Source organism: Homo sapiens, chromosome 17, assembly GCF_000001405.40.
Source record: "Homo sapiens chromosome 17, GRCh38.p14 Primary Assembly".
Lineage (NCBI taxonomy): Eukaryota > Metazoa > Chordata > Mammalia > Primates > Hominidae > Homo > Homo sapiens.
The window spans coordinates 74,320,684-74,348,351 of record NC_000017.11 but is presented as its reverse complement, the minus strand read 5'-3'; the positions used below and the strand labels follow the sequence as shown (position 1 = coordinate 74,348,351).

The following is a 27,668-nucleotide window of genomic DNA, read 5'->3' as shown; positions in this document are numbered from 1 at the left end:
TTCCTTAAGCCTTGCTGTCCTAATCTGTACATGGGAACCGCAATAATACTGCTGTTTTTTGAGGATCAAAGGAGGTAGCATGTGAAACAGCTCAGAGCAAGTGCTCAATGAAGCTTGCCTCCTGTGATGACCATCATGAAGAGGTGCTTTGGAAATGCAAAGGTCTAAATGAGCATCTGAAGACGAGGAAGGGAAGAGAAGAGGGGATGAGGCAGGGGGAGCACAGTCCTGGGACTGGAGGAAGCGGGGACCCTTGGGAGCTGTCGGCTTCCCGGCAGAGGAGCAGGGTTTGGAGGTGCAGGGAAAGTGTACAGGTGACGATCAACTAGGGAATGAGGCCAGTGCAGCAGTGGCTGGTTCCAGAGAGTGCAGTGGGGTGGCAGGGATCAGCCCGGGGGCTTGAATCTCAGCCCAGGAAGGTGTGTCCTGGTGGACGGTCCAGGGGCCCTCACCCTAGTCTTAATGTTCTTGGCCCGGCCGGCGTAGGTCAGGGTGTTCCGGGACTCCTCGAAGGCACTGCTCGCAGGACTGATGTGAGCGATCATCACTGTGCGGCTGTTTCCTCCCAGAGAGTCCTGGATGGGAGGTGGCTGTGGTCAGTGGGGACTGCCTCCTCAGGCCTTCCTCCTGCCAGGCTGTTCACGATGCCCTCCCTGGCGAGTGCAATCTCTCTGTCTCTTTACACTTAAGGGACCCGGCTGCTGAGCGTCATATGGTGTGAGGCTTGGGAGGAAGAAAGCCCTGCTCCAGCAATTACCAGCTGTGTAACCTTAATAAAGCTCATTCACCTCTTTAGTTCTTTTTTTTTTTTTTTTGAGACAGGGTCTCGATCTGTCATCCAGGCTGGAGTGCAGTGGCGCTGTCTCAGCTCACTGCAACCTCCACCTCCCAGGTCCAAGCAATTCTCGTGCCTCAGCCTCTCGAGTAGCTGGGACTATAGGCGTCTGCCACCATGCCTGGGCAATTTTTGTATTTTTAGTAGAGATGGGGTTTCACCATGGTGGCCAGGCTTGTCTTGAACTCCTGACCTTAAGTGATCCACCTGCCTCGGCCTCCCAAAGTGCTGGGATTCCAGGCGTGAGCCACCACACCCGGCTTTCCTTGCTTTTTAAGGGGGCAGTCCTTTTGCAATTGTCCCCACCTCCCCGGCTTCTAGGTGCAGTCATGACGGCAGCTGCTGGCAATGTTAAGTAAGCGGTGACTCTGATATTAGATCAGGGAGGCCTCTGACTGGATCCTACTTTCAGCACTTACTAGTGTGAGCCCTTAGGAACATTACCTAACTGAGTTGTGCCTCAGTTTCCTCATCTGCAAATGTAATCCCTCAAACTCATAGAGTTGTTGACGAGATCTAAGGAGCTAATAGAGTGAAGTACTGAATTCAAGAGACCAGCCAGGAGTGGGCGCTCAGTGATGCTGCTATAATTTAAGGCCAAGGACACCCCTGCACAAAGGAGGCCACCCCCAAACAGCTGACCTGTGGGGCCATGAGGCTGACTGCCCACCTGCACCCCCAAATCTAGACGGCTCTGACCCACAGCCCTGGGTGGGGGTATCACGTGCTCCTTTTCCTTCCCATTGCCCAGCCTTTGGTTAGGGTCGTCAGATAAAATACAGGATACCCAGTTAAATTTGAATTTCAGATATGCAATTACTTTGTTTTAGCATAAGAATATCCCAAATATTTCATGGGACATATTTACGCTAAAATAAATTTTGCTGTGTATCCTGAGGTTGGAATTTAGCTGGGTGCCCTGTATTTTCATTTGTTTAATCTGGCAGCCTCACCCTTGGTGCCCAGTGCCCAGGCCCAGCTGTGGCTGGTACCTTCAGGAGCCGGGTGAGCTTGCTGTCGCGATAGTTGATGTACTTGTTGCTACCCTTGTCGCTCAGGGCGTTGATGCAGTTGCCCAGTGCCAGCAGTGAGCGGTTGATGTGGGCCCCCTCCTTCATACGCTGCCCACGATTCTGTGTCTAGGGGGCGAGCAAAGGGCACACGTGTGGCCTGATGAGGCAGGGGACTGGGTTTCTCCCCAGCCACCCCACCAATGAATGACCTGGTGATCCTGGGTAATAAACCCCCAAGGACCTTGTGGCCGTCCTCCTGCCAAGGCCACTGAGGGCATTGGAGAAGGTTAAGAGACCCAGAGGCCTCTGAACAAGAGTGATGGGCTGACAGCTTCTGAGGAGGGCTGAGATGGCCGGTTCTCCTCAGGGCAGGTGCCGTGGCACGGCCTGACACACAGTGCCATGGATGAGATGGGAGGGAGGTTGCTTTCCAGGCAGCTCAGCTGGGAGCCGGCAGGACCACTGGTGCTCCAGAGGGTGCTCCAGGGAGCAAGGAGGAAAGTGCGTGCACATGTGCATGGTGGTGGAGGGCAGGTTCTTCTCCTTTTCTTGGGCCTGCAGGAGCATGTCAAAGCCGAGGAGGCCCTGCCTGCAGCTCCCCTTAGGAGGTGGCTCTGCCCAGCCTGGAGAAGCCGGGACCAGCTCGCTCCAGTGGCTGAAGGGCACTCTCTCTCCTCCCAGGCCTCTCCCCTGTGTGCCTTCCAGGAAGCCCCCCAGGCTTTACTGGAAGGGAGGGGTAAGTTTCTTGAACCTGCCCTGTTCGGATCCGACCCCAGATGTTCAAAGACAAAAGACTGCTCATTCTTTCTGGCACTGTCATTTCCCTTGCATTTGTTCCAGTGCCAGCAATGGTGACATCACCCAGCCTCATTGCTCAGGTGACCATAAAACCCCCAAGATTGCCTGCACGAGGGAGCCCAGACCTACACCAGCTGGGTGGTGCTGCCACCAAGGCTGCAGAGCTCGGCAAGCAGGACTTCATGGGAGGGGACAAAGGTGCTGCCACAAAGCCAAGCTTCATGAGAGGGGACAAAGATGCTGCCAGAAATGGGTGACGGGGACCTTCTCCTCTTTGTGATGTGACTGGCTGGGTCCTCTCCCAGGATGTGTCAAGTCCTCCCAGTCAGGGGATGCTTGTCTCTCCCTGCCTCCAACTACTCCTTTGGGCCCATTCATTGTCTTCCTGGATCCCTCCCCTAGGGCAGCCACAGTCTCCTTCCCTGGAGAAACCCCCATCCTCCTTCCCCTTCCCACCAGAGCTCCTTGGCTCTTCCCGGGATGCCCTACCCCATTCCCCCCAACCCTGCTCCTCTGGAACGTTCCTCACTTCCTTAACCCGGGGGTCTCCACTCATCCCCTCCACCTCGCTGCGACATCCTCCCCGCTCCAACTCCTACGAAGCTGAGATGCCAGCGTCCCTGTCCCCACCTCCCAACCTGTCTCCCCTGTTCCTGTGGTGCTGGCCTTGCATGGGAGTCACCATTCCTGCCCTCCGCTGTTGCCTGGGTCAACCCTCCCTCCTCTGCCCAGCCCAGGTCCCAGCCTCACCTGCGAGGCGCGCTCTGAGCCAGCCAGGTCGATCATGAACAGGCGGCCCTGCCGCACCTCCTGCAAGATGTTCTTGACCCGGCTGCGCTGGCGCACGGTCACCTGCAGTACCGCGTGGGAGCGGGAGGACGTCTGGTTGGCGGCCGTGGGCTCCTGGGTCCTCTGCCGGTTCCCCTTCATCAGCAGCTGCATGATCTGGGTGGGAGGGAGGAGAGGCAGCTCTTAGCGACTGCCGTAGGTGCTCCGGCAGAGAGGAGCCCCTGAGGGGGCTAGCAGGGAGGGTCCTATGTCTGAGCAGTTGGGAAAGGGCAGGCTGGAGTGGGCTGGGCTCCGTGTGCTGAGAGGCCTGGCGTGGGCCTCGGCTCTCTGGAGGTCAGGGTCTCTGTGTAAATGGAGAGGCAGTGTTGCCTGGTTACTCTCCCAGGGTCAGCGTGGTGGGGGCATTGGGGCAGGTGTGAGTCCCCTCCTTGCTGCCACTCAGGATTCTCCTGTCTGTCCCAGCCTCAGCCGAGTGGGGAGCAGCTCCCTGGCTTCTGTCCCCGCCCCTCCTGCCCCTCAGGCGGTGAGCTTCCTCTCAGCGGCTCCAGGCTGGCCACACAAAACTCGCCTCCTTGGCATTGATGGTGGAGACTTCGGTGATGCCGGCCACCTGGATCACCCCCTTAGAGTCCTCCCGCAGCTCCAGGTAGCCCAGGGAGGGGTTCAGCAGGTCCCGGATCATCTCATTGTAGATCTGACGGGACAGGTGGGGGAGGGGTGGGGGAAGGGAGACTAAGGGCAGGAGGTCAAGGCCAGGGCTGAGTCCCCTTTCCTTTCGTGCAGGAAAGGGACAAGAGTTCACCCTTCCTGAGCCCAGGCTCTTCTCAGAAGAGCCCTGATTAGGAGGAAAGGCCCTTTCCTTCCTATGGGGTCAGGGGCTTCAGCATCCACAGGAAACATCGGGCTGCTGGAGCCAAGGTTACAGGAGGCTTTGAAACCAAGGAGCACCCCTTTCCAGACAGGCTGGGCACCGGGCAGGGTCCTGAGTGTGAATCCCCATTCCCTCACTTACTGTGTGACATTGACCTAGTTGCATGGGGACCTGACAAATGACCAGAACCCCCTTCCCCCACCCAGTGAGGAGCCCTGTTCATTGCTAGGCAACCCCTGTGCTCCTTCTGGGGGCACCCCCACCCCGTAAAGCGAGTCTTGCTGGCTGAATCAACACCTTGTTGGCCAGCAGCTGCTGGTGCTGTGCCTCACTGCCTCCTTAAGATGTCACCCAGGAGATTATCAGCTCCCGGAGGAGCCAGATGAAGTCCAGCCTCCCACCTCTTCTGGACTCTGTGTGCTTCCCCAGTCCCTGACATCCCATCACTGTCTGGTGATAGCACTCCCATGGGGTGGGCACCAGGAGGCTGTGGCTGGGTGGCAAAGGCCCACAGGTTCCAGACTGTACATGTATGTTCAGTTTTCACTGTACCCACATACACAGAATCGCTGGAGGCAGCCTGGCAGGGCAGACAGGGTCTGCTCTAAGGAATGGGCCTGTGAGGATGGTGAGGTGGTGAGCGTGGCACAGGGCGGAGCTTGGCCTTGAAGCTGCAGGGTCCTGAGTTTGAATCCCCGCTCCCTCGCTTACTGTGTGACATTGGCCTAGTTGCCTAACCTCTCTGATGAGCCTGCGATGTTTGTAAAGTGGAGCTCACAGTAGGCATGCAGGAGGGCAGCAGTGATGAGCGCCCCGGGAAGCTGCACAGTGACCAGCCCCAGGGAGGGAGGCCAGCCCCATCTGAGCCTAGGCTGGGGGACTCACCTCCAGGTAGGACATGGAGACCTCATACTCCATGTCATTGCTGGTCTCCTCGATGGCACGGAAGAGGTCGTTGAGGGTCTGAACATAGATGCCAGGCTCCTGGTCTGTGCCCAGCATGGTGTAGGTTTTCCCACAGCCTGGGGCAGAACAAGGTGGAGGGTGACCGGGGTGGGGCTGGGAGGGAGGCCTTGCTGGGCAGGCACTCCTGGAAACCGGGGTTTGTCCTCAAGGCTGGGCCCTCTCAGAGGGCCAGGGAGGTGGTGGGGAGTGGGGAGGATGATGCCCCGGCTCGGGTTGGGGCCTCTGGGGCTGGAGGGCCCTGGGTGAGATGTGGAGCGACCACATCCTGGATTCCTGCTCCAGCTGGGGTCAGACTAGTTGGAGGGTGACGGGGATTACAGGGGCATTGCGGTCCTCGCCCACAGTCTGGGCATTCCCCTTACCTGTGGGGCCATAGGCAAAGACAGTGGCATTGTAGCCTGAGATGACGCCCTCGATGAGGCTCTTGGTGGTGGCCTGATACACCATCTCCTGCGAGGAAGGAAGCCTGTCAGGGGCCGGGACACAGGCGGGGCACAGCACAGGCACCCACTGGCTCTTCCTGACCTCTGATAGGAGAGGTTTCTGTCCCTGGAGCCCCAGCCCCAAGATAAGTGGGGGTGGGGGGTGGGGGAGGGGATGTCTCTGCTTACACTCACAGTGGGGGACGTCAGGCTGAAAGAGAGCCCAGGACACCTGAGACGCCTTCCTGCGCAGCTGGCTCCTGGCCCCCCGCCCTGAGGATGCATCACATCTGTTCCTGGGAGCATCCCACAGATGGGCGAGATGGGGGTCCTCGAGGAGGGTGTCAGCTTCGCTGAACCCACCCTCTGCCCCTGTCCTCCCCACACCAGATGGCCTTCAAGCTCCTTTTCCAGCTCAGTAGGAGCCAAGCGAGTTGTACCGTGTAGGGTGGTGTCTGAGTGCCAACCCCAGTGCATCCTTGCAGGAGGCCGGGTGTGTGTGCCTTGTGTGCATGAGAACCTTCCTGAATGGGGAAGGCTCAAGGAACAGAGGGTGAGCAGGTGGAGTGGAGGCTGAGGTTCAAAGGCAGGGGCCCTGGAGGGCCCCTCCTGAGTGGGGCTAAGGGTGGGGGAGGGGCTCCTGCGTGTCTCCAGCCCAGGCCCTCCCTCACCTGGGTGGCGGTGAAGTCAAAGGCCACGTCGAACAGGTAGGACTTCTCCCGGGAGCGATGCGCCCGCAGGATGTCGTCGGGATCCTCCATTGGGTCCATGAGAACCACCATCTGCAAGGTCCCCAGAGGGAGGCCCACGGTCACCTGGGAACCCCGGGCCCTGATGAGGTCAACCCTCAGGAAGGTTAACAAAGTTAACCCCTTTGTCGATCAGAGTTAACAAAGCCCTTCTGGGCTCTGAATCTAGCCCTCGTCGCCTCAGGATGTGGGCAAGAGATGGGAGGGGCCAGAGGCCGGAGTCCAGGGCCCAGGTCCCACTGGAGGTAGGTCTCGGAGCCAGAGCCCATTCCTGTCCTCTTCAGCTTTCCCATGTCGGGTCAGGCTCGCCATCATCTGCCCTTGGATGCCCAAAGGGGACACCTTCCTGACAACGAGCAATTGCCTCTGCAAGGCCAGTACAGCCCCAGGGGAGCAGAGCACACACAGGTGATGCCCAGGCTACCACGAGCCCAGACCCTGGGGGCCTGCCCCTCACTTCAACACCCCCCATGCTGCCTCTGCCAGAGAGGTGCAACAGAAGAACGGGCAGCATCTGTCAGGGCTCATTTTGTGTCAGGACCTGTTGCAAGCACCCACACATACAGTCTCTTTTATTTATTTATTTATTTTTGAGACGGAGTCTTGCTCGTTGCCCAGGCTGGAGTGCAGTGGTGTGATCTCGGCTCACTGCAACCTCCACCTCCTGGGTTCAGTGATTCTCCTGCCACAGCCTCCAGCGTACCTGGGACTACAGGCGTGTGCCACCTGTATTTTTAGTAGAGATGGGGTTTCTCCATGTTGGCCAGGCTGGTCTCAAACTCCTGACCTCAAGTGACCCGCCAGCCTCGGCCTCCCAAAATGCTGGGATTATAGGCATGAGCCACCACACCCGGCCTCACACAGTCTCTTTTAACCCCAGCCATGACCCCAGGCTAAGGCCAGCTATGACTCCCACCTTACAGATGAGGAAATCAGGGTCCAAAGGAGTCACACCCCCCAGGTCGTCACACATCAGCAAGGGGAGACCCAGGGTGCCAACCAGGCTCTGAGTTCAAAGTCCACTGACTCCTATCCACCTCGCTACAGCCCTGCCTGCTCCGCCTCACCCCTCCAGGGCAGAGCCTGGGACAGAGCAAAGAGCCACAGGCAGCTGGGTGAGGGATGAGGTCAGCACGCTGGGCTTGGGGATCTCCACTCGCAGCTGAGAGGGCTGTGAGGGAACTGCTCCAGTGGCCCTTTGCAGCTTTGAGCCTGAGCCGGGAGTGGAAAGGGTGGAAAGGGAGGCAGAGGGGCTTGGGCTGGCAGCCAGGACAGGCCATGGGTGGGCCAATCCCAGCTGGGGCTCCCCTCCCTGCAGGGTAGGAGTGGCAGCAGTGTGTGTGTGTGTGTGTACGCGCGCGCATACCTGCTGGCACGTGTGTTGAGACACAGAAGGGTCCTGGCCGGGTTCTTCCCTTCCTCCAAAGGTAACCGAGGGGCCCATTTTCTAGAACTATCTCAGGGCCTGCTCCACTCTGCCCCTGCCTCTGCCCCTGTGCACTTGGTGTGTACTCAGCCTTGTCCCGAGCTCTATGCAGAGATGCAGAGGAAGGAGGCTGCGTCCTTGCTGGGGGCCCTAGTCTAGGGTATGGGAGGGGATAGAGACAATGCCAGATTCATGGAAATGACGGGAGACATTCAAAGATGCGTGGGAGGGCTTGAGTTTGGAGGATTTAGGATGAGAGGAGCAGGGGCAGCAAAGGAGAATCAGGGTAGGCACTGAGGGCCCTGTGACCTCTTATTGGTGGTCGGGCCTGGTATAACCTGCTTGAGCCTCCATCTCCTCCTCTGTCAGATGGGACAGCAGCATGATCCACCTGCAGCGCTGGGAAGACCCTGGAACAACGTGTAATGTGCTTGGGCACAGCGCTGGGCATGTGCCAAGAGCTCAACAGTCTTTGTTCAACGGGCTGTTAAGAGGGCAGGGGTGGAGACTGAGAGTGGCCACCTGTTCCCCGCACCCATGACTCTGCCATCAAGTCGAGACCCACAACTCCACCCTCACCGTGGAGAAGGTCACTGGGATTCCACAGGCCCTGCACCTGCCTGAGGTCCCTTTGGACCATAGTCCCTGTCCTCATGCACCACCCCCAACCACTGCACCGCGGAGGTGCCCCCTGAGAGGCAGCTGGCGCCTCTAAATGCTGCTCTGCGCCTGGGGACGCCTGGGCTCCCTGGGGTCCTGGCTTGTGATAGCCAGGGGAAAATGAGCCACCACCGTGCTCTTCATGAGAAGGGAGCATGCTCCCTGGGGCCGTGGGTGCTGAACGGAGTGCATGACGGCAGCCTCAGCCAGCATGGGCATCTCATGCGTCCCCTCTTTCAGTGGGAGGGAAGGGGGCGAGGGAGGTAGGGAATGGGTGTCTCATTGGTCCCCTCTTTCAGTGGGAGGGAAGGGGGCGAGGGAGGTAGGGAATGGGTGTCTCATCGGTCCCCTCTTTCAGTGGGAGGGAAGGTGGCGAGGGAGGTAGGGCATGGGCAGCCCCCTCCTCCCAGCACATAATCACAATGGATCATTGTGACTGAGCACTTCAATTTGAATCATCACGATGATTCTTCTCAGATGGGGAAGTTGAGGCACAAAGTCATGTTGCTAGGAAATGGCAGAGCCAGGACTGGGGCCTGGCAGTCTGGGTCCCAGCTGGTGCTCCGGCTACCCTTCTAAACTGCCTCTCACGCACACACTTCCACCCCTACTCCCACGAGGGGCCTTGTGGGGTGGGGCAGGTAGGGGAGTTCCTGCCCTGTCCCTCAGTAGTTCCTGTAATTCCAGGAAGCCCCAACACCCAGGGTGTGCATTAGCCCTACCTAACTCAACCGGGGATAAGATACTGTCCAAGGAGGTAAACTGAGTCCTAACAGCGGGCAGGGTACTGAGGAGGGTGGGCTGTCATAGGGGTGCCCCATAGAAGCAGAGACAGGGGCTATGCTCCCTTCCTGGGTCAGCAGGGGAGCCAGGGCTGGTGACAGTCCCAAAAAGGGCTTGGGAACAGACAAGGCATGAGGGGTGGCCGCTCTGGGGTGAGGAGAGGCTGGTGAGGGGGCAGCAGGCAGCAGAGCTGTGAGCACAGCCGGGCTCCATGGATCCAGGAGATCCTCGTGGGTCCCTCTGGGTCCACCCAGATCGAGCTTGCGGATTTAGAATGCCCAGTCCCAGGAGGATGACAGCCCTGGGGCTCCCACCAGACTCCCTCAGCATTCTACGTGTGCCCTGGGTCAAACCCCCTTCCTTCACCACCTGGACTCCTGGGATAGGTTCATACCTGTGCTCAATGCATCAAAACTAACCTATGACCATCAGGTATCTGGCAAGGCCCCTTCTGGGATTCTCAGTGGAGGAGGGAAGCGGGAAGAGGAGGCCTGACCCTGGCAGCCTCATGTGGAAGTCTTTCCCAATCAGATGGGATTTCAGGTCAGCCAGTTACAGGAGAGGGCTCTAGATAGGATGGACCGGGGGCTTTGTGCGGGGAAAAGAATGAGGCCACTCACTCAGGCTCCCTGCCAGCTGGCCAGAAGCTAGGTGGTCACAGTGAGCCTCTTCTAGGATCTGGCCCCTGTCCCAGGCCCCAAAGCTTGCAGCATGAGCCCTGCTCTGGTGTCAGACCCCACTGAAGGTAAAACCTGGCTCTGAGTTCCCCGGTATGGGTCCCCATGGGATGCAACCAGAACCCAGCCAGCTGCTCCCGCTCTCATCCCAATGCCGGTGTTCCTGTGGACACGGGGAGGACCAGTGGCCTGAGGAGCACCCTCTGGGAGGGGGGCCTTCAGTGCTAGGGAGGGTGAGTGGCATGCACCAATGCCCATCCCACCCATGACCTTCATACAACCTCCAGACACTGCCAAGTTCACAGCGTCCTGGGCATTTGGTTCCTTTAGCTAACCAGGCTCCTGTAGTACACTGTCAGCACAGCTGCCACGATCCCCGCTTAAAGAGGGCTTTGTCTGGGTTCCATCTGTCCGGGCTCCAGCCCCCGCCCCACCCTCGAGAGCATCACCCTATTCCTGTCCCCTCTAGCACACAATGGAGCCCTTGTGCCCCTCCTCCAGGTGAGCCAGAGCTGAGCTGGAGAGGGGTGGGGACAGGTGCTCTGAGCTGCCAGGGAGACCAGCATGGGGTGCTCAGGCCAGGTCAACACGCTTGCTGAGCAAGGTCTCAGGGACAGAGTGCAAAAGGAGGCCAGGTTTCCTGCCTTCCGACCCTCAAGGATCATGTCAATAACCTGGAAAGTGCCAGAGCACAGGGAGGCACCTAATCCTACTCCTAGAGGAAGACTTCCTGGAAGAGGTGGCACTAGCATTGAGTCCTAAAGAATGAGAGAGGTGGAGTGGAGAGAGAATTTCGGACTATTACATGAGCAAGGCAAAGAGGCGATGGGCAGGCTGTGGCACTGGTTCTCAGCTCAGATCACTGGGGTTTCTTGTGAGAAACACTGGGTCGGGAAGAGAGAGCTGGAGCTTCACCTTCCACTCAATGTGCCAAGGCTCTTCACTGCACAGATCCGAGAACTGACGTGTGCATCTACAGAGGCCAGCACACGCATGCCCCACCCACCCAGGCACCCCCCCCACCCCGTGAGCACATGCAGTCCCTACTAGGGGAGGCTTCTGTACATCCTCTGAGCCTCCCTCTAAAGGCCCCCCTGGTTGGCACACAGCAGATGTCCAAGAGACGTTTGCTGAATAAAGCTTTCGTTTATAGGGAGTGGTGATTGTGCCAGGCATGGTGCCAAGGGCTTGGCGTGTGTTTTCCCTGACAGCTTAAGAGTGGGCACTCTTGCCGGGCACGGTGGCTCATGCCTGTAATCCCAGCACTTTGGGAGGCTGAGGTGGGCAGATCACTTGAGGTCAGGAGTTCGAGACCAGCCTGGCCAACATGGCGAAACCCCGTCTCTACTAAAATACTAAAAATACAAAAACTAGCCGGGCATGGTGGCACGCGCCTGTAGTCCCAGCTACTTGGGGGGCTGAGGCAGGAGAATCACTTAAACCTGAGAGGCAGAGGTTGCAGTGAGCCAAGATTGTGCCACCACACTCCAGCCTGGGTGACAGAGCGAGACTCTGTCTCAAAAAAACAAAAACAAACAAATAAAAAAAGAGAGGGCACTCTTATTATCACTTGCCTGGAGATGAGGAATCAGTTGGGTTAAGTAAATTACCCACAGCCTCACTGCAAAGTGCAGAGCTGGGCAGATTCAGAGTTGTGGGTCTCAGAACCCAGCCTGCCCACCATGCTTCTCCAAGGGCACGAGTGGACAAACAGCTGCCTGGCTGGGGGGAGTACCCGCTTGTTAGAGGTGGAACTGTGTCCCCCCGAGATTTCATGTTGTGAAGCCCTAATGCCTAGTGCCTTAGAATGTGACCTTATTTGGAAATGGGGTTGTTGCAGGTGTAATCAGTTGAGGAAGGATGAGGTCACATTGGAGTAGGGGGAGCCCTTTATCCACTATGACGAGTGTCGTTATGAAAAGGGGAAATTTGGGCACAGGTCTGCATAGAGGGAAGCTGCTAGGAAGAGACACAGGGAGAAGATGCTCATCTAAAGCCAAGGGGAGCCAGGCATGGTGGCTCACGCCTGTAATCCCAGAACTTTGGGAGGTCGATCACCTGAGGTCAGGAGTTCAAGAACAGCCTAGCCAACATGGTGAAATCCCATCTCTACTAAAAGTACAAGAATTAGCTGGGTGTGGTGGTACACGCCTGTAGTCCCAGCTACTTGGGAGGCTGAGGCATGAGAATCTCTTGAACCCAGGAGGCAGAGGTTGCAGTGAGCGGAGATTATGCCACTGCAATCCAGCCTGGGTCAGGGAGTGAGATTCTGTTTCATAAATAAATAAATAAGCATAAAGCCAAGGAGAGAGGCCTGGAGCAAACCCTTCCCTGCTGCCATGTTGATTGTGGACTTCCACCTACTGTGAGACAGTAAGTGGCTGTTGTTGAAGCCACACAGTGTGTGGCACTTTGCTACAGCAGCTTGCAAACTAATACAACATCCAAGGCAGGCTCACCTGCCATAGGGAGCTGAGTGTTGCCACACCCCAGGTGGGGCTTCAGCCAGCTCCTCCCCCAGCCTTAAGCAGGTGGGCTCAGCATGGGCATTCTCTCTCACAGCCCCCCCGGGGAATGCATTCTCATGCTCATACTGGGTGCCTGTCTCTGGGAGGTTTCAATGGCAACTTTGCTCACATGGGAGGCGGGCAGCTTCAAGCCAGAGCTCTGTCCCTCCAAGCCCATCTGCTGCTGCAGCTCCAGGCTCCCAACTCAGCAGAGGCTCTGGCTTGAGACCCCACCTCCACGGCCTCCTCTCCCAGCCCTGCTCTTAGTTCAATGCAGATTTTGACCTTTCCAGAGTTCCAGACGGAGTCGGAGTCTTTTAAGCTGGAAACTCAAGATCCCGTAGGGAAGTGGGGGCCTCAGGCCAGGGAGAGGAGGTCTCATCCATAAGCTGTGTCCCTATCGGGGGACCAGGCTCATCCCAAGCATCTAGGTGAGAAATACTTTGCACAAAGCATGTCACACTACTAGGCTGCAGCTGCATTTATCAGCTTTGCACTTTTAACAGGATTCTTTCTGGCCTCCAAATGCCTGAGCACGGACCAGGCTTTCTCAGGCTTGGCACTGTTGACATTTTGGGCTGGATCATTCTTTGCTGTGGGGGCAGTTCTGTGCATTGTAGAATGTTGAGCAGTATCCCTGGCCGCTACCCACTAGATGCCAGTCGCACCCTTCCCCCGGTTGTGACACTGCCAAATGTTCCTGGGGGCAAAATTGCCCTGGTTGAGAACCACTGACTTAGACCATTCCTCCCACAGCCTCCAAGGCTAGTGGCAAAAATCTCCGAGGGAGGGGGTGCCACAAGTGAGGCTCAGTTTGACATTGCTGTGTGACTTTTAGGAAGCTCCAACACTTCTCTGGGCCTCAAGTTTTTCCCAGTTGGAAGTCAGGAGGACCAACATGGCTGTAGCCTTGAGAGGAGAAATCATATTATACCAACACCCCTATCCTACTCAGGAAGCCTCAGCAGATAATCTGGCTCTGGCTTTATCTGCAGCCCAGGGAGCCAGGCCACAGCCCCTTCATTCTTACAGGTAAAACTAAACCACAACAAATCCTGATTCTAGGCCTTGTAAGGCTGTTTCTGTTTCTGTTTCTGTTTGTTTGTTTGTTTGTTTCTTTAAAGGAGAATTTGTTGCTGGCCATGTTTCTAGTTGTAAACATACCATCCTGGGAGTCCTCAATAAAGGCAACGTTGATCCCAGGAAGGGTGTCCCTGGGGCCTGTCAGCCTTCAGGCTGGATGGAGAAGGCCAAAGTTGACCCTGCTGAGCTCATAAAGCCACCAAAGCCCAGCTGGCTGCTTAGGACACAGCCACACCTGGCTGATGTCCTGGTCAGATTCCTGCCTGGCTATACGATTCTGAGACCTGGAGGCTTAGGATGGGGAGTGTGTATAACCAAGAATATACTAGGGCTGTGTCTCTCAAAGGGTCTGCAGATACCTTCACCTGAGTCACCCAGGGAGCTTATAAAATGCAGATTCTCAGGCACTTCCCACACGCGCACAGTCAGAATCTGTGGGGAAATGGGCCCATAAATCTGCAGGTTAACAAGCACCCTTCCTTGTATCCATCCAGATGCTGAGTGTAAGGATCCTTGCAACCTAGAGGATTATGCACAAGAGCCAAAAAGAACAACCCACACACCCATCAACTGATGAAAGGATAAACAGAACACGGTGAATCCACACCTCAAACATTATTCAGCCAGCAAAAGGAGTGAAGTTCAGGTGACTGGATACAGTGGCTCACACCTGCAATCCCAGCACTTTGGGAGGCCAAGGCAGGAGGATTGCTTGAGCCCAGGGGTTTGAGACCAGCCTGGGCAAGATAGCCAGACCACACCTCTACTAAAAATTAAAAAAATCAACTGGGCACTGTGGCATGTGCCTATAGTCCCAGCTACTCAGGAGGCTGAGGTGGGAGGATCCTTTGAGCCCAGGAATTCAAGGTGGCAGTGACAAAGTGAGACCCCCATCTCAAAAAAAAAAAAGAAAAAAAAAGAAAAAAAAAAGGAGTGAAGTTCTGATAGGAGCTATAATGTGAATGAACTTGAACTTCAAAAATATTAGGACCAGCCAGGCACAGTGGATTGTATCCATCCAGATGCTGAGTGTAAGGATCCTTGCAACCTAGAGGATTATGCACAACATAAGGAGTGAAGTTGTATCACTTAATGAAGTTGTATCATAAGGAGTGAAGTTGATAAAGATTACACCTGTAATCCCACCACTTTGGGAGGCCAAGGCGGGTGGACCACTTGAAGTCAGGAGTTCGAGACCAGCCTGGCCAACATGAGGAAACCCGTCTCTACTAAAAATACAAAATTAGCCAGACATGGTGGCACACACCTGTAATCCCAGCTACTTGGGAGACTGAGACAGAAGACTCACTAGAACCTGGGAGGCAGAGGTCGCAGTGAGCTAAGATAGCGCCACGGCACTCCAGCCTGGGTGACAGCCAGACTGTGTCTCAAAAAAAAAAAAAAAAAAAAATTAGGACCACATACTGCATGATTCCATTCACATTCAATGTCCAGAAGGGGCAATATGGAGATGGATAGTACTTTAGTGGCTGCCTGGGGCTGGGAGGGGCTGGGGACACAGGCAGGTGGCTAAGCGGGGAGAGGTAAAGAATCCTGACCCCCTCCCCTAGCCACTCTCCACCAGCTCAGCTCTTTGGGGAACCAGGGCCAAGAAGCGTCCAGATGGTCGGTGTGCAGGGAGTTTCCCACCTCACTGCCCCCAGGCAGGCAGGTGGGCTAAAGACAGCTGCTCCCGCAGCACTTCTGGGCTCGGGCAGCTGACATCTGTCACCTTATACTTTATTTATCTTTCCCAACAGCCTCCCAGTTGCGTGGCTGCGCTCCCCCTTACATTATCTCCTTTAATCCTCTCGACAGCTCTCGGGGTGGGTGGGGCAGGTTTCCTGTTCTCCTGTCTTCTGATGAGGAAGCAGAGGCCCAGGGAGAGTTTCAACTTGCCCACCAGTATGCGACCAGGACATGGCAGGGCTGAGAGAGCCTGGGTGCTCTGGTTCCTGGGTCCCAGGCTGTATAGCCTCTGTTCTCGGGAGCTCAGGGCTCCTCTTGCCTACATTTCTCCTTTCCATCCCAGGAGTCACGCTGTCCGGCCAGATCTCCCCTGGTGGCCCTTCTGCCTTCGCTCCTCTTTCCTTTCCCACCCTCACCCAGCCCTCCTGGCCTAGGCCCCACAGCTAGGCCTGGTGGGAGCCCTTACCTGGCTCTACAGCACCCCGGGAGCAGAGGGGGGTGGCAGCAGGTAAATGCTAATGATGGGACATACACATGGTCAGCTGACTTAACTCCTGCAGACAAACAGCCTGGGAGAGCTAGGAGGAGGGTCTGTGGGCTGCAGGCTTTGGGAGGGATGGGGGATTGGAGGAGACGGCTGTTTGATCTGTAGCTTTTTCCCCCACCTGGAACGCTGAGGCCCCACCAGCCTCTCAGGCTGTCCCTGGCTCCTCTGGGGCCCCAGAGGTAAATTAAACCAGGCCCACCTGGTACTTCCCCGCTTCCTGTGTTTACACGTTAGGGTCTGATCTCACCCCAGGAGCTACTAAGACATGGAGCTCCCACCTTACTTCCAGGAACACACACACACACACACACACACACACACACACAAACACACACACACACACACACACACACACACTGAGGTGTTCATTTGGGAACCGTCCTGAGTGCTCTGACACAGGAAGAGGGAGCAGGAAGGCTCAAGGGCCAGGTTTTGTTTACCTCTGGGACCCGAAGCCATCCCATATTTCAGCCCTTGAGACACATTCACATTTATTAACCCCTGTGAAGACACATGCCAGGCACTGTGTTATGCACTGTGCCTCCGTTAGCCACAGGGACCCTCTAAAGAAGGCATTGTGACTACTAATGGAATTGAACGGGGTCCTGGAATCACTGGCCTTCCAAGGCAACTGGACTATCCCCATTAAAAATCCAAACCGGCTGGGCACAGTGGCTCACACCTGTAATCCCAACAGTTTGGGAGGCTGAGGCGGGTGTATCACTTGAGGTCAGGAGTTCGAGACCAGCCTGGCCACCATAGCAAAACCCTGTCTCTACTAAAATTACAAAAATTAGCTGGGCACGGTGGCGCGCGCCCGTAATCCCAGCTACATGGGAGGCTGAGGCAGGAGAATCGCTTGAATCCAGGAGGCGGAGGTTGCAGTGAGCCAAGATTGCACCACTGTACTCCAGCCTAGGTGACAGAGCAAGACTCCATCACAAGAAAAAAAAAAAAATCCAAATCCGAACTCCAGCTTCCCCAGAATCCAAGCACCCTGGGTTCCTGTCCCAGAGGACTCTCCGCCTGTGGGAATGTCCCCTTCTGCCAAGCCTCGTTGCCACAATCTCCTTCATTTGAAGTGTCCCCAGGAGAACAATGCCTAGACTAAAGAAAGCTGCCCCAGGACCCCTCACGGTGGCCCAGCCCAGCGGGTTACTGTGTCCCCGGTCCACCTCTCCCCACTCAGGACGAACATGTCCTGGCTCAGCTCCCAAATACACCCACCTGTCCATGGTGCCTCCAGGCCTTAGGAGGAAGGACAGAGCTTTGACGGGCCAGCTGGCCCCATCAGAGAAGCTGACGAGGACTGGACCCCCAAGCCTCCCTCTGGGCCAGGGCTGTGAGCGAGCTATGGGGTCACTAGGGTCAGGTGAAGGTCAGGAGGTGGGGGAACTGGTCAGGTCGGGGACAAGGGTAAGGGGGGGTCCATGTGCATTTTGCTTCCTGGGTTCATGTATCTTGTCTCCTACTTGCCAGGCATTTATTTGTCAGAGGGACAGTGTTTGTTACTAGAAGGGTCCCAGCCTGGCAGTTATGGCTGCTCCTAAACTACAGTCCTCCGTTAGAAGGGCTGGGCTGGATCCCTGGTGCAAGCCAAACTTTGAACCCACTGGGGACAGAAGGAGCTTAGGGCCAGAAGCCCACAGGGAGTTTGCATGGAGAGCTCTCCTCAGTGCCAGCCCAGACAAGACTCTCCGCACCTCCAGCTGACAAAGGAGCAGCCCTGTTAGAACCACCCAGCTCAGAGGCCTTCTTGGAGGTGGAGGCAGTGGAGGCGTATCTTGGCTGGATTAGGCCAGACCCAGAGAGGGAGCCCCTCCTGCTCCACACGCAGGGATAGAAAGGAACCAGTGTTTGCCGTGTGTGGGCACACAATGGGCTGTCCCCTTGACAGGGAGCGTTCCCATCAGCACCAGTTAATATTTATCAGCCCCCACGCAGGCCAGGAGCCAGGAGTAGCAGAGAGAGAGTCAGCATTGTCCCAACCCCGAGGACCTGATGTCTTCGGGACAAGTTGGACAAACAGAGTGGCTTTGCCTGGAAGGAGGTTTCTCCTCCTGAACTCTATGGCTCCTCTCCTGAGCCAACCCAGCAGCCCTGGGGAATTTCAGTCTCTAGCAGACGTTGATAACTGACATCTATGAAACTCTTCCTATGTGCCAAGGACTGGGTAAGCATGTGCGTACATTAGCCTACAAAGACCCTCTAAAGAAGGCATCATGATGTCTGTCTCCACTTACACATGAGGCAACTGAAGCTCCTGGAAGCAACCCCCCAGGCTGCACAGCTGGCAAATGGCAGAACCTCCTCGAACCACTGTTTATGTGCATTCATTCTGCTCCAGCTGGGTCTGACCCATTTAGACGAGGTCTTCCCAGTCATCCCCTGCTTTCCCCAAGGTCTTTGAGGAAGCCCACCCTTTTCCAAGAAGGAATATGGGCAAAGAAATGAGGATGCTGCTACCCATGGCTCTACTGTGCCCACAGTTCCATCATCACTGCTGAAGAAAGAGGCTTGAGTGGGCCCCTGCCCCTGGGGAGCCCAGAGGTAAACAGGCATTGGAAGTGTGCCATCTGCCTCTGGTTTGCTTATCCTGGGCCCAGGGCTTCATGAGTCCAGCCCGTGGGACCTGAGCCCAGGCCCATCAGGTGCTCACGTGTGCCTTTCTCTGCATTGTACAGTGCCACCCAACTTCTCTGAGCCATTAGCACATCCTACCACCACGATGCTCCTACCTGGGCACCAAGCCCACTCCTGTTGCCCCCACCACTGTGCCTGTGTACATCCCAGCACGAGTCCTCAACTGCCTACCCAAACAAACATCCTGGCCATGGTCTACAGAGTATGTGGTTTGGCCCAGCCCATTCACACCTCTTGCCCCTTACTCTCCTGCTTGAGCCACTCTGGCCTTTTCTCAGCTACCCAGTTGCATCCCAGTCCCTCTCACCACAGGCCCTTTGCACATGCAAGCCCCTCAGGTCAACATTTCTCCCCTCATGCATGCTACTAATGACCTCTTCTTCACCCCTTATGTTTTCAGCTCAAGCACAGTTTTTTTTTTTTTTTCTCTTTTTCTCTTTTTTTTTGAGACAGAGTCCCACTCTGTCACCCAGGCTGGAGTGCAATGGCGTGATGTCGGCTCACTGCAACCTCCACTTCCTGGGTTTAAGCGATTATCCTGCCTCAGCTTCCTGAGTAGCTGCGACTACAGGCACGTGCCACCACGCCCAGCTAAATTTTTGTATTTTCAGTAGAGACTGGGTTTCACCATGTTGGCCAGGATGGTCTTGATCTCTTGACCTCGTGATCTGGCCTCCTCGGCCTCCCAAAGTGTCAAGCACAGTTTCTTAAGGAAGCCCTCGCTGACCTCCAGGTTTAGGTCTTATCCCCTTCTTACCTACTCTCATGCCACTAAGCATTTCTTTGAAGCCCTTGTTAGCTGCAAACTCGTTTGTTTGTGATGCAATTCTTTGATGAATGCCTCATCTCTTCACACTAGACTTAAGGTAATGGAGAGAGGACAGGGCCTTTTCTGTTCACCACAGTTTCCCAGTTTCTAGAACAGTACCCAGCATGCTGCTGGTACTTGATACACACTTATTGCCTCGTGTGCCCTGCCTTCCTCATCCTGGTGACATGAGGACCAAGATTGCAAACAGAGAGCGAGGATTTTGCCACACGTTACACCCTAGAGGCGAGCTTTAGCTCTCAACCATATATATATGTGCTCTGTGGGCAGCAGGCATATTAGGGTGGGAAAGTCAAGCAATGAGCATGTGAAAGGTAAAGGATCAGGGCCCACCCAGGCTAGGGAAGCTCCCAGTTGTCCTTGGATCAATCTAGGAAGGCTTCCTGGAAGAAGAGCCCCCAGCTTCCTTGGTGATGTCATCAACAGCACAGCCAAGAGTTCAGTGAGTAGAGGAAGGAGGGTGCTGCAAGCCACAGGGGCCCTTTCTGCCCTCACCAGGTGAGCTGAGCCATCTGAGCAGACCTCTGCCCTGCAGCTCCTGCTGCAGAGCCCTGCATACCTGCTCATCCACTTTATGGGCGATGAGGGTAGCTCCTTCCTCCAGCTCTGCCACGCTGATGGGCCGGACCCGAAGCGCCACCTGGGAGGGAAAACCAAGCCCCTGGGATTAGAGGGAGAGGACCATGCTGGGCCTCAGAGAGACCTCAAGCAAGCCCCTGGCTTCTCTAGCATTCAGCCATCTCAGGCCTCCCTTGTCCTAAGTAAAACTCTACCTAGGTCAGAGGGCAGCAGGTCCACAGAGTGTTGGACTGTGTCTGAGTTGATGAGTCTCCCCAGGAGCCCTGGCCTCCGGGAGAGCCCCAGGGGAGAGAGCTGTCTGCTCCTCCAGCCTGCCTCAGCCTCACGCCCAAATAAAACACTCGCAGCTCCCCTGGGCTTGAACTTGGGGCCCTGGCACTGGAGCAGCCTCTCTGTGTTTCCGCGAATGACGTGCTGCAGAGGAAGGTGCAGGCACGGCTCTGGGATGAGGCCTGGTAGGTGGGATGGAGCAGGGAATGTCCCCCATCATCCCAACAGCCTGTGACCACATTCCTACACCGAGGAGAGTGTCACCTAGAGCGCCCACCCCCATCTGCCTGTCCTCCAGCCAGTGTGAAATGGGTCTCATCCTGTGCGTGGATCTCCCTAAAGAACAGGGTGGAGTGGGGAGCACGTCTTGTGCTGATCAAAGGGCAACAGCTGCTGGGTGTGGGGATAGAATGAACGGCCCTCTGGCCGAGTGAAGACTCCTTCAGGCCTGGCGTGGTGGCTCACGCCTGTAATCCCAGCACTTTAGGAGGCCGAGGTGGGCGGATCCTGAGGTCAGGAGTTCGAGACCAGCCTGGCCAACACGGCGAAACACCGTCTCTACTAAAAATACAAAAATTAGCTGGGCGTGGTGGTGCATGCCTGTTATCCCAGCTACTCGGGAGGCTGAAGCAGGAGAATCGCTTGAACTTGAGGGGCAGTGAGCTGAGATCGCACCACTTCACTCCAGCCTGGGTGAGAAAGTGAAACTCCGTCTCAAAAAAGAAAAACAAAACAAAACAAAACAAAAGGCACTTTCAGAGGGAACTACACTACCTGACGGGTCACCTTTAGTGGCATCTTCAGCCAAATTCCACTGGCGGGAGGGGAGGACCCTTCATCCCTGCTCCCCGGGGCACACAATACATGCCAAGGCCAGTGATTTTCAAAGAGACACATTCTAAAAAGCCAGAGAGGATGTCCTAGAGCCCAGGGCTTGCTTGGGGGCTGGAGCTGAGGCTCCTTTCAGAGAAGCAAGCCCACCCTTGAGAGGTAGGGGACTCTGGGAGCAACATTATCCTCCAGTTACCTTACTGCCCACCTTCTGGTGATGAGGGCCCTTCCCCAGACCTCAAAAATTAGGGGATGAGGAAGGGGCTTGCTGAGAGAGACACCCACCCACCCACAGCCTAGTGGTGGCCTCGAGGTCACTGAGTCATCTCCCTTGTTGCTCTGGCCCAGGCACCACTGATGATCAGGAATTCCACCTTCCCCTCCACAGCCCCCACTCTCACCTCCCCATCTGTCCCAGGCCCCAGGGCTCTGTGGGGCCATGGTAGCTGCATCTAGCACTTCTCTGAACTACTTCGAATCCGGACTTGGGCAGCATCCGTGTTGCAGCCCAAGAACCAGGCACTCCGGGCCCCATCCTGACACCAGGGGCCCTTGTCTTCCTACTGGTGACCCCCACATCCCTTTAAACTCCTGACCTCACCAGGGCTGGAGCAGCCTCTGATTAACTGGGAAACCGCCACCCTCCTTCTGGGGGCAGTTAGGTCAAGCCCTCCCTGCCCCTGGCGTTTCTGGATGAGAGAGCCGAGATTCATCTGCGCACGCTTTGGGGGCGGGATCTCCCAATGGGAGGGTGGAAAGGTGGGGGTGGGGTTGAAGTTGGGGTAATTTTCAGGCTCAGGAAAGTCTAAAAAGGCCATGGTCCCTTCTTGACACCCATCCTGCAGGACTTGGGGAAAGTTGCTCTGAAGAGTCCCGGCCCTGGTCGTTGCCTGTCCTCTCAGTGGGGTGGCGGCGAGGGGACAGGACTCTGTCGCTGGAGGCCGACTGAAGTAGACCACGGAGCGGGGTGGGGAGGAGGGTCTAAAAGGGTCTCACCATGAGTTGCTGGTCCTTGGAGTCCCCGCTGTCCTTCATGATTGCAGCAGGTGGAGGGGCTCAGGCCGCGCCACCGGGCATGGCTCAGCCGCACCCCCACCGCCTCCGGGTCGCGTCCGCCAGCTGCTAGCTGCCCGCCGCCTCGCGCGCTGCCTGACAACCCGAAACCAACAACGCGCCAGCGGCTAAGGACGCCGACCCGAGGCGGGGCAGGGGGAGGGCCCGGACGGCGCCGCCCCGCCCCCGGCGCCCGCCCCTCCCCGCGCTGAGGGTGAGAGTTGGCCGCCTCCGCCGAGGAGGCCCCCGAGCCTGAACCGCTGCGCGACGATGTGTGCCCGGCTGTGCGGCCCTGCGGCCCTCGGTGCGTCCGTGCGTCCGCCTGGCGCCTCCGTGTCAGTTCGCTAACTCCTGCGCGCCCACCCGCGCCCCTCTGCTCGCGGCGCGACCCCGTGCCACTGCCCTTTAGGGAGCGCCCCAGCAGCCACGCTGCCCCTTGAAGCACACGCATCTGCCGCTGTCTCTGGGGTCTCCAGGGCGGCGGCTGGCAGCCTCGGGTTTCCGTGGGCGCCGCGTGCATCGCAGCAGGTGCCTGTGCTGTGAGTGTCTGCACCCACTGCCCACTGGCATGGGTGGCAAAAAGTTGTCCCTTTGCTCAGGCCGCCCAGCACCTCTGTTACCTGGGGTGTGCTACAGAAGAGCCTGACTCAGTGCGACCCACTAGCAAACAAGTCTCTACCCCTGAACCCAGAATCTAGGTCACGATGGCTGGGTCCGTGTGCCCTGCTGGCTCCCCGCCTGCTGCTGGAAGAGCCACAATACTGTGCAAGAAAGTCTAGGTCTGACGCTACCGCCTCCATTCTTGGCGACAATAACAACGGTTGCACTCCCAGGGAACACAGGGGAAAGGTTCCTGTCCTCAGGAGGCCCTGGGAAAACTTGGATTCTGGTCCCAGTTCCGCCTCCAACTCGGCCAGCCACCTGGAGCTGGTTTTTCCTGCCTCCCTGGGGCCTCAGTTTCCTGGGGGATGTTGGAGCCTCTCCCAATTCTGATGTCCATCCTCTGTGTCCTCTGCCCCCACCGAAGCTGAGCCCGGCAGCCCCAAGACTGGGAGAGGAAGCCACGATGGGTTTCACTTTCCAGGGAAGGGGCTGGGAAAGGAAGCACTCATGTCCCCAGGGCTGCCTCAGACTGCCTGGGGTCCCTCAGAGGCAGAGTGTGATGCCAGCCTGTGCCCTGGGACTGGCTTCCCCGGCTGCCCCTGAGGAGCCTGTGTTGGGAATCGTTATTAATAAACAGCAGCAAGAAGCAGCCGTCAGCCTTGGGTTTAATAAATAGATAAACCAAGTAAAACTTGGTGGAAACCAAACTCTCCTGCCCGGGATCCCAGGTTTTGTCCTGTTCCTTGGCCTAGGCTGTAGGCTGGACAGTTTGCAAATGGGCATACTGTGACAAGAATCGGGTCGGGTTTTTTGTTTTTGTTTCTGTTTTTTTATGACAGAGTTTCACTCTGTCACCCAGGCCGGAGTGCAGAAGCACAATGGCACGATCATGGATGGCTCACTGCAGCCTCAATCCCTCAGGCTCAAGTGATCCTCCTGCCTCAGCCTCACAAGTAGTTGAGACTACAGGTGCGCACCACCACGCCTGGCTAACATTTTGTATTTTGTAGAGACAGGGATCTCACTGTGCTGTCCAGGCTGGTTTTGAACTCCTGGACTCAAGCAATCCTCCCACCTCAGCCTCTCGAAAGAGAATCGGGTAAGTTTTAGGGGTGTGTTGTGCTTGCATTTTAGGCTCCTGAAAAGAACCTATTTGGATCAATCAAACAGGCCCCTGGTCAACTGGGCTGTCACTATTTTTCTTTTTCTTTTCTGTTCCTCCACATGCATCAGTCCCACCCAGAATGCCCCATAGTTATTTTTGTTTTTGTGGGGTGTTTTTTGTTTTTGTTTTTGTATTTTTGAGACAAGGTCTTTCTCTCTTTCTCTTTTTTTTTCTTCTGCCTCCCCACCCCTCAAGACAGGGTCTCACTCTGTGGCCCAGGCTAGAGTGCAGTGGTGCCATCACAGCTCACTGTAGCCTCAACCTCCTGGGCTCAAGCGATTCTCCTAACTCAGCCTTGGGAGTAGCTGGGACAACAGGCGCATGCCATCACGCCTGGCTCATTTTTTTTTTTTAATTGTTGTAGAGGCAGGGTCTCAAACTCCTGAGCTCAAGCAATCCTCCTGCCTCAGACTCCCAAAGTGCTGGGATTACAAATGTGAGCCACTGCGCTGGGCCTATAGCGATTGATGGGTAAAAATAAGAAGCTTCTTGGCTGGGCGCAGTGGCTCATGCCTGTAATCCCAGCAGTTTGGGAGGCAAAGGCGGGCAGATCAGTTGAGGTCAGGAGTTCAAGACCAGCCTGTCCAAATGGTGAAACCCCGTCTCTACTAAAAATACAAAAATTAGCCAGGCATGGTGGCAGGCACCTGTAATCCCACCTACTCGGGAGGCCGAGGCAGGAGAATTGCTTGAGCCCAGGTGACAGAGGTTGCAGTGAGCTGAGATCGTGCCATTGCACTCCAGTCTGGGCGTCAGAGTGAGACTCCATCTCAAGAATAAATAAATAAATACATAAATAAATAAGAAGCTCCTAAGTAACAAGTCCCCACCCATCTTACACGAAGACTCATCACAAAGTCAGGTATATTCTCAAACAATGTCCTCTGCCTGACTTTTGGGTTTTGTCAATTAAACCACCATCCCCTTTATTTTATTTTATTTATTTATTTATTTTGAGACGGAGTCTTGCTCTTTCGCCCAGGCTGGAGTGCAGTGGTGCGATCTTGGCTCACTGCAAGCTCCGCCTCGCGGGTTCACGCCATTCTCCTGCCTCAGCCTCCCGAGTAGCTGGGACTACAGGCGCCCGCCACCACGCCCGGCTAATTTTTTGTATTTTTGGTAGAGACGGGGTTTCACCGTGTTAGCCAGAATGGTCTCGATCTCCTGACCTCATGGTCCACCCGCCTCAGCCTCCCAAAGTGCTGGGATTCTAGGTGTGAGCCACCGCGCCCGGCCCACCATCCCCTTTATACCCATTGCCTTTAAGGCATTTTTTACCGCATCTTTTTTTCTCATCTTCTACATTCAACTCCTGCAGATTCTACTTCTGCAAATATTTCTTCTCTTCATCGTCTCTTGCCATTCCCTGGGCTCCAGTTTTTACCCCTTCTCACCTGGACCATGTCATGGCCTCTTGCTATGCCCTGGCCCCACCGTTTTTGTTGTTGTTATTTGTTTGTTTTTTGAGATGAAGTCTAGCTCTGTCGCTCAGGCTGGAGTGCAATGGCGCAATCTTGGTTCACTGTAATCTCCGCCTTCCGGATTCAAGCGATTCTCCTGCCTCAGCCTCCCAAGTAGCTGGGATTACAAGCACCCACCATCACGCCTGACTAATTTTTGTATTTTTAGTAGAGACGAGGTTTCACCATGTTGGCCAGGTTGGTCTCGAACTCCGGACCTCAGGTGATCCACCTGCCTTGGCCTCCCAAAGTGCTGGGATTACAGGTGTGAGCCACCGTGCCTGGCCCCAGCCCCACTTTTGAAAGGGGAAGAGATCTGTCAGGCAGAGATCTTTGAAAGGGGAGCGATCTGACAGGCAGAGACCTCCTGTGTTCTCTAACACAGAAGTAAAGGCAGACACTTTACTCTCCACAACCCCTTTCAGCCTCCTGCCCGGCTTCATTTAAACTCATTCTGCTCTGTGGGCTCGGCCTTCCACTCACCTTCACCACTTGCTTATTCCCAAATGTATGCTAGAGCCAGGTCCTACACTGGGGCCTTTGCTCATGCCAGTCCTCCAACCTGGTACACCCTTTCCAGCTTACCTCTGTCAAATTTCTCGTCATCCTCCATATCAGACCCCTCCTCTCCTGGTCCACAGAACTCTCATTATGCCCTGACAGAGCCTGAATCAAAGTAAGCCCTGCACGGGCAGAGACCCAGGCACTTGATGTATGCTCAGTCCATGCGCTCTGCATCCTGGTCCTGCCCTGGAACCCGTTTCTGTCCCTCCTCTCCACTCCCATCACTGCTGCCTGCAGCCTGGGACTTCAGTTTCTCATCTGGATGACCACGTACACTGCGTGGTCTCTTTGCCTCCAGTTTGACTCCATTCCCTCACTGCTCTAGGACAGATGGGTGTCGTGACCTTACTTGAAATCCTGCCATGGTGCCCCATTGCCTTCTGTTTGGGGTCGGCTCTTTAGCCTGTAGTTGCAGCCTTCCCTGCCTCTTCTTGGCTCGTCCCCTTCTACCACCCTTGCTCTGGCCGTGCTCAACCAAGTGCAGTCCTCTGCGTGAGCAGCTCTTCTCTCCTCTCTGGGCTTTGTTCCTGCCACTCTGTCCTGGAGTTCCATTTCCACTTATCTATCTGGCTAACTCCTTCTTCCAAGCTCATCTTATGTGTCACCTCCCCTTTCCTTGGGGGAACTGCCTCTTCTCTAGTCCATGTCATTCTGATGGAGCCCATCACAGCATCCTGTTCCACTCCCAGCCATGGCAGAAGGCATGCAACCCAGACTTGACTGTGGTCACAGTGATTGGTCCAAGGGGATGGGCTATGACCCACATTAGGCCAATCAGAGCCTTTCCCTGGAATTTTGTTATACTGGGAGGGAGGAGCTCTCTCCTGCCTTTGGGATTACTGGCTGAAATGACTAAAATCGGGGGGTGGGGTCATATCTAATCCCTCCCCTTATCCAATGAAAGCAGCTTCACTAAAGCAGAAGTTCATAAAACTGAGGCAAAGAAAGAAGCTGTGCAGAGAGATACCAAATGACAACATCTGAGTTGCTAGATCCAGCAACACCTGAAGCTGTTAGCCTTGGTCTTCCAAGTTTCTTGAGCCAACAAATATTCTTTCTTGGCTTTAGCTAGAATGGGTTTCTTAAACATGTGACCAAGAGTCCTGACAAATACAGGGGTGCCAGCCTGCATCCCACTGGATTAGATCGGTCTCTCTCTCTCTGCCCCTCTCTCTCTCCTCTGTCTTGCTTTGTCACTCAGGCCGGAGTGCAGTGGCGTGATCTCAGCTCATTGTAACCTCTGCCTCCCAGGTTCAAGCAATTCTTATTATGCCTCTGCCACTTGAGGAGCTGGGATTACGGGAAGGCGCCACCACGCTGGCTAATTTTTGTATTTTTAATAGAGATGGGGTTTCGTCATGTTGGCCAGGCTGGTCTCAAACTCCTGGCTTCAAGAGATCCACCCGCCTCAGCCTCCCAAAGTGTTGGTATTACAGGCATGAGCCACGGCGCTCGGCCCAGGTCCTTTTTTCTATATACTTCTCTGTAACAGCACTCACAACTGGAGATCAGAACCATCTGTCCGTTTGTCTGAGCTGAGGGGCTGGCTCTGTCGCCCAGGCTGGAGTGCAGTGGTACTGTCCCAGCTCACCACCACCTCTGCCTCCTGGATTCAAGTGATTCTCATGTCCCAGCCTCCCGAGTAGCCGGGATTACAGGCATGCGCCACCATGCCCAGCTAATTCTTTCTATTTTTAGTAGGGACAGGGTTTCACTGTGTTGGCCAGGCTGGTCTCAAACTCCTGGCCTCAAGTGATCTGCCTGCCTCGGCCTCCCAAAGTGCTGGGATTATAGACGTGAGCCACCTGCCTCCGGCCAAGCTGGCTCTTAACTTCATATTTCCAGTACAGTATCTA

General features: G+C 55.9%; 1 protein-coding gene and 1 long non-coding RNA gene across 10 annotated transcripts in view, besides 3 other annotated features; both read right to left on the bottom strand.

Moving 5' to 3' along the window:
• The window catches only part of KIF19 (kinesin family member 19), a 29,595-nt gene extending 7,469 nt beyond the window's left edge, over window positions 1–22,126 (bottom strand). For 3 of the 9 annotated variants that reach the window (XM_017024150.2, XM_017024151.2, XM_047435317.1), the window contains exons 1-9: window positions 21,964–22,126; window positions 19,847–19,927; window positions 6,366–6,476; window positions 5,635–5,722; window positions 5,192–5,328; window positions 4,004–4,129; window positions 3,397–3,591; window positions 1,789–1,974; window positions 453–575 (exon numbers count right to left, since the gene is read on the bottom strand). In XM_017024150.2, the coding sequence (XP_016879639.1) occupies window positions 453–575; window positions 1,789–1,974; window positions 3,397–3,591; window positions 4,004–4,129; window positions 5,192–5,328; window positions 5,635–5,722; window positions 6,366–6,476; window positions 19,847–19,927; window positions 21,964–22,002 (1,086 nt within the window). In that variant the 5' untranslated portion in view covers window positions 22,003–22,126. The remainder of the gene's footprint in view (window positions 1–452; window positions 576–1,788; window positions 1,975–3,396; window positions 3,592–4,003; window positions 4,130–5,191; window positions 5,329–5,634; window positions 5,723–6,365; window positions 6,477–19,846; window positions 19,928–21,963) is intronic. The other 6 variants (XM_005257029.2, NM_153209.4, XM_017024152.2 and 3 more) reach the window with 3 other exon arrangements.
• On the bottom strand, window positions 7,010–10,977 carry LOC107985078 (uncharacterized). The gene is made up of 3 exons (XR_007065897.1): window positions 8,208–10,977; window positions 7,810–8,024; window positions 7,010–7,169 (listed from the first exon to the last, which is right to left on the bottom strand). It is a non-coding gene; the product is annotated as an uncharacterized LOC107985078 (long non-coding RNA).
• Window positions 15,208–15,502: an enhancer, noted in NCBI's record as "tiled region #11842; K562 Activating DNase matched - State 1:Tss". NCBI's record gives its function as "activates a minimal TATA promoter and a strong SV40 promoter by Sharpr-MPRA in K562 cells {active_cell/tissue: K562}" and the evidence as "EXISTENCE:reporter gene assay evidence [ECO:0000049][PMID:27701403]".
• Window positions 19,047–19,961: an enhancer, noted in NCBI's record as "NANOG-H3K4me1 hESC enhancer chr17:72324530-72325444 (GRCh37/hg19 assembly coordinates)". NCBI's record gives its function as "activates a minimal SCP1, AML or CMV promoter by ChIP-STARR-seq in naive H9 embryonic stem cells {active_cell/tissue: H9 hESC(naive)}" and the evidence as "EXISTENCE:reporter gene assay evidence [ECO:0000049][PMID:30033119]".
• Window positions 22,092–22,311: a silencer, noted in NCBI's record as "silent region_8928". NCBI's record gives its function as "represses an Ori minimal core promoter by ATAC-STARR-seq in GM12878 lymphoblastoid cells {active_cell/tissue: GM12878}" and the evidence as "EXISTENCE:reporter gene assay evidence [ECO:0000049][PMID:35858748]".